Genomic DNA, 6000 nt, shown 5'->3' on the forward strand with positions numbered 1-6000 from the left:
TTCTGGATATTAAACTTTTGTTGAATGAGTAGTTTGTGAACTTTTTCTCCTATTCTGTAAACAGACAACCTACAGAATGGGAAAAAGTGCTTACAGACAACCTACAGAATGGGAGAAAAAATTCACAAACTACTTGTTGATAGTTTCTTTTGCTGTGCAGAAGCTCTTTTGTTTCAGTAGGTTCCGCTTGACAATATTTACATATGTTGCAATTGCTTTAGAGGACTTAATCATAAATTATTTCCCAAGGCTGATGTCCAGAATAGTGTTTCTTCAGTTTTCTTCTTAGATGCTTATATTTTGAGGTCTTACATTTAAATCTTTAACCCATCTTGAGTTAAATTTTGTATATGGTGAGAGGTAGGGGTCCAGTTTCATTCTTCTGCATATGGCTAGCCAGATATTTCAGCACAATTTATTGACTAAGAAGTCATTTCCCCATCACGCGTTTTTGCTGACTTTGTTGAATATAAGATTGCTGTAAGTGTGCAGCTTTATTTCTGGGTTCTCTATTCTGTTCCATTGGTCCACATATCTGTTTTTGTACCAGTACCACACTGTTTTGGTTACTGTAGCCTTATAGTATAATTTGAAATTAGATAATGTGATGCCTCCAGCCTTCTTCTTTTTGCTTAAGGTTGCTTTGGCTATTTGGGCTCTTTTTTGGTTCCATATGAATTTTAGAGTAGTTTTTTCTAGTTCTGTGAAAAATGATGTTGATAGTTTGATAGGAATAGCATTGAAACTGTAGATTGCTTTGGGCAGTATGGGCCATTTTAACACCATTTGTTCTTCCAATCCATGAGCATGGAATTTTTTTTCATTGATTTATGTCATCTATGATTTATTTTAGCAGTGTTTTGTACTTCTCCCTACAGAGATCTTTTACCTCCTTGGATAGATGTATTCCTAGGTTATATATAGATGCTACTACATGTGCTTTGGTGAAGTCTGCACATATAATTTAGATATAGATAATGAAAATAATTTTATAATATGCCTTTCAATTTAGAAAGGAATCATTTAAATTTTTTTGTGTACATCTTAGGTAGGGACTAAACTTTGCCCTGTGGGGCAGTGTTTAGGAGGTGCTCAACAGAGGCAATACAGCCCAAGTTGACTATTGAAAGATTACTTGGGGAAGGGTCAGATATGAAGAGAAGGTGACCATGTTTTAAGAAACCTCACATATTGTTAACATCCGTTCATGTGGAATAATAAATGTGTGTGTGGAGGAGATGTGTGAGGGGCTTTATAGAGTAACGAGATTCATGAAAGTAAGGCCATCAAATTGTGAATGGCGCTATGTCATGGTGTTGGGATTCTAGGGGGAAAATGAGTGGAACTGGAAGCAAACTATTTCTCATTTAGATGCAGACAAATTTATAAAACTCTCTTTCTTTCTTTTCTTCCTTTCTTTCTTTTTTTTAATTTTTTTTTTTTTTTTTATTTTTTGAAAAGGAGTCTTGTTCTGTCACCCAGGCTGGAGTGCAGTGGCGCCATCTCAGCTCACTGAAACCTCCACCCCGACTGGTTCAAACGATCCTCCTGCTTCAGCCCCCTTAGGAGCTGGGACTGCAGGCTGCACCACCATGCCCAGCTAGTTTTTATATCTTTGGTAGAGATGGGTTTTCGTTATGTTGGCCAGACTGGTCTTGAACTCCTGGGCTCAGCCACACAGTATCTGTTAGACTGTGCATAATCCAGCTAACATTTTCAGACTTCAGTATTCTCCACAGCTGACCAATAATGTTCATATGGGATGTGAGTTGTATTAGATGGCTTCCTGGGATTTGTTAGCTTCAGGGTTTTTGATGTAATTCTGCCATGCATAATCACCATTCTCTTTTCAATTGCACAAAGGCCATTTTTCTGAGATTTCATGTAAAATTATGATGGTGGGTTTACAGAGATCAAAGAGTTATGAGCAAAGAGGGTGCCCAAAGAAATTACTGCTAGAATAATTACTGTTGCTAACAGTACTGTAACTTAAAATATTTGTTCAAGCAACATATATTGAATGCCTTGGGTATGCTAGGCCTGGAGGTACAGAGTGAACAAAATAGTTGTGTTTGGAAAATTATGATAAGTTAATGATAAGCCCTCTTAGTAGAGGGCTTATTTCAAGGAAGGACAGCAAGTACAAAATGTAAAACTGGTGAAACTGAAAGAAGCCAATGTGATTGGAGTGCAGAGACTGAGGGGCTGGGTTGGGTAGGATTTGGCTCAGGTGCTAACCACAGCTGAGAGGGCAAGTAAGATGCAGTCTCAAAGTGTCCTTTGGGTTTAGCAACACTGTGGAGCTCAAGTGAAGTCCCTTTCAAGGAGCAGTGGTGGTGACAGCCACAGCAGAGTGGGTGGAGAATTGTCCAGGAGATGAGGCCACAGATGTGGTGAGAATGAGCACCGTCTTGAGAAATTTGGTTATGAAAAGAAGAAAAGAGAGGGGAAAATAGATGGGGAGTGTTTAGGGCTGAGTGTTTGAGTCCCTCCAAAATTTATGTGCTGATATCCTACCCCCCAATGTGATGGTATTAGGAGGTGGAGACTTTGGGAGGTGATTAGGTCAGAGGGTGGAGCCCTTATGAGTGGGATTAGTGCCCTTATAAAAGGACCCCAGAGAGCTCTCTCACTCTCCTTTTCACAAGCAGACGCAGCAATCAGACAGCTGTTTACAAACTAAGAAGAGGGTCCTCACCATGAACCTGACCCTGCTGGCATCCTTGTCTTGGACTTCCAATTTCCAAAACTGTGAGAAATCAATGTTTGCTGTTTAAGCCACCAATTTATTGTATTTTGTTATAGCAGCCAGAGCTAGGACAGAAATGAAATTGGTTGATTTTCTTTTCCCTTTCCTAATGGGAAAAGACAAAATGGAGAGGTTAAAGATGTAGAAGAGAGAAGGGATAGAATTCTTGATAGTTGACATATGGGATATGGAGCACAAGTAGATGAATTGGCCTTAGGTGAAGGGGACACTCCTCTACTGTAAACCCTGGCTGTATTATGCGGGGACAGGAAGGTTAGTGATATTCTGAGGTTTTCCTAATGTATCTCGAAAGAAATGGGTTCCCTAGATGTCAAAGGGATGGATTGCATGAACAGCCTGTGTGAGTCACAAACCAACCAAGAACTGTGAGATTATGCCAGAGACACTGAGTCTGCAGTACTGCAGATATCCATGTGATGCTCTGAGAAGCCTAAATATTTGTTAACGTAGTTTGTCTTCTACAGAACATACAATGTTTTATTCATTATTGGTCTCCATTAGTCTGGAGACTAATACACTGTGGGCAGAGAGCTTGCACTAGCTCTATGGTAAAAATGCAGTTACTGATTAGGCTCAAGCCAACAGGATTATGAAAACTCAGGTAACTTGTAACGAGGCCTCTAATCTGGTGATTATAGGTCAGTGTCCTGTGATGATTTGAAGAAGGCATCGAAGGTCTGAGTTTCAAAGATCATTCTTCTACATTTTTCCCCATTTTTACCTGATGCTCTCTTTTTAACCAGCCACCTTCATTTTCCTTTTCCCAGAGGTGCTCTTTCCTGCTACATTTGGATACAAGTCTCTGGTGGGCCCTGTTTGCCCAGATCCTTGGGCAAGTAAGTTTGACGTCAATTGATCTTAATCTCAGATGCCAAGTTTGTGCTAAGGTGTAAACGACCCTTCAGTAAATTGACTAATCTTGTTGGGCATTGCCATAGTTATAAAATGTTAAGGAAGTAGAGGTTTTTGTTTGTTTGTTTGTGAATTTTTTCAACAGAGAGCCTTTCAAAAGATGTCACAAAGATTAGGAAACATCTCCATCTGTTATGGAGTATGTTTTCTGTAATGATTCAGTTACCAAGACTACACTGGCAGCAAGAGTTCCTCTGTCTGGGTGATGCTGAAGGTCAATCTCTGATCGGTCCTCAGAAGCCTTCAAAGATCTTTGAAATGTTTTCTTAATGCTCCTCTCTGGCTCCTTAAATAATGATTGAGGCTTGGATTCTATTAGAGTGAGCAGGGACTCAATATGAAATTCTGCACCAGGCACACAGTTAATATAATTTATTTTATTTAGAATTCTGCTCTCTGTACGGTCTGGTTATCAATTCTCTTTTTCATGATTTGGCATTAATGATGGAAAGAACAAATTCAGATGTCCTTCCTCTTTGAGTGATTCACAGTGTGTTTTCTATTTCCATTGACAACCTTCTCAGTGTTTTGATAATAACTTCCTCAATAGGACACCAAAATTATGTGAATAAATGAAAAGAATTCTTATAATCATAGAAGATAAATGAACTATCTGTACCATCAAACTACATTTAAATGTAAGGGCTAAAAATATTTTTAAGAATTAGGAAATCCAAGTGAATCCTGATTTTTCCTTCTATGCCTTCCCCCCAACTCCAAAGTCACTTTTTAAATTGAAGTATGATTTATATATTATAAAATTAACCAATTTTAAGGAAATAATTTGTCTTTATATTTTAACAAAAATGAAAATGTTAGAAGGTACAACCACTTATTAATATTTTTTTGAGAAAATAAGTCATTCTACCAAAAAGACACACGCACTCACATGTTCATTGTAGCACTAGTCACAACAGCAAAGGCATGGAATCAACTTAGGTTCCTGTCAACAGTGGACTGGATTAAGAAAAGTGATACCAGTCCTTTGCAGCAACATGGATGCAGCTGGAGACCATTATCCTGATTGAATTAACACAGAAACAAAACCAAATACTATATGTTCTCACTTTATGAGTGGGAGCTAAACATTGGATACATGTGGACATAAAGATGGCAACAATAGACAATGAGGACTACTAGAAGGGAGAAGGAGAAAGAGGTGCAAAGATTGAAAGCTATCTATTAGGTACTATGATCACTACCTGGGTGATGAGATCATTCATATCCCAACCCTCAGCATCCTGCAATATACCCATGTAACAAACCTGCACATGTACTCCTGAATCTAAAATAAAAGTTGGCTGGGCGTGGTAGCTCACACCACCTAATTCCAGCACTTTGGGAAGCCGAGATGGGTGGAGCACTTGAGGTCAGGAGCTCAAGCCCAGCTTGGCCAACATGGTGAAACCCCGTCTCTACCAAAAAAATACAAAAATTAGCTGGGTGTGGTGGCATGCACCTGTAGTTCCAGCTACTTGGAAGGTGGGAAAATCATTTGAACCTAGGAAGTGGAAGTTGCAGTGAGCTGATATCGCACCACGGTGCTCCAGCCTGGGTGACAGAGTGAGACCCTGTCTCAAAATAAATTAATGAATGAATAAATACATAAATAAATAAAATAGAAGTTGAAGTTTTAAAAAATGTATTTTTTAATTGCACAAACACAAATATGGAATGAATTGAGAAAGCTATCAATATTTCTCCAAAGACATTAAACTCATACCACATTTTTCTTTCAAGAATCAGTTAATTCAATTTTATATCGAATTAACTGGGATAGAGAAAAAGATTATATATTGCCCACCTCATTTTATGAAATAAATATAATCCTAATATCAAATAGACACAGACAAGATGCCATAGAACAGTCTCACTTATATGTATGTATGAAAAATTATAAACAAAGGATTGAATATAAATTAGTAGTTTGTAAAATAATGACCTGCCCTGTGCAATGGGATTTATTCTGGCAATATAATGGTGTTAAGTCTAATATTATAAAATTCACCACAAAAATAACATTACTAAATAAATTAGGAATGGGCTACGTTTATTTCAAAGTAGGTCGCATGAGTATTTGAGAGAATCTCATTTTTTGTTTAAAATAAAATAAACAAATTTCTTTCTAAAGTAAAAATGGAATAGCCCTTAATGTGACAAAGTATATCTATTTGAAATCAACAACATAGAGCTTATTTAATGCTGAAACTCAAAAATATTTCCCTTAAAGCCAGAAATATATTGGGCAATCCCTTACCAATATTATTATTTAATAGCACTCCAGAATTTCTGGTCAATGCTATAGGACATGAAATTGA

Source organism: Homo sapiens, chromosome 6 (genome assembly GCF_000001405.40).
Source record: "Homo sapiens chromosome 6, GRCh38.p14 Primary Assembly".
Taxonomy (NCBI): domain Eukaryota; kingdom Metazoa; phylum Chordata; class Mammalia; order Primates; family Hominidae; genus Homo; species Homo sapiens.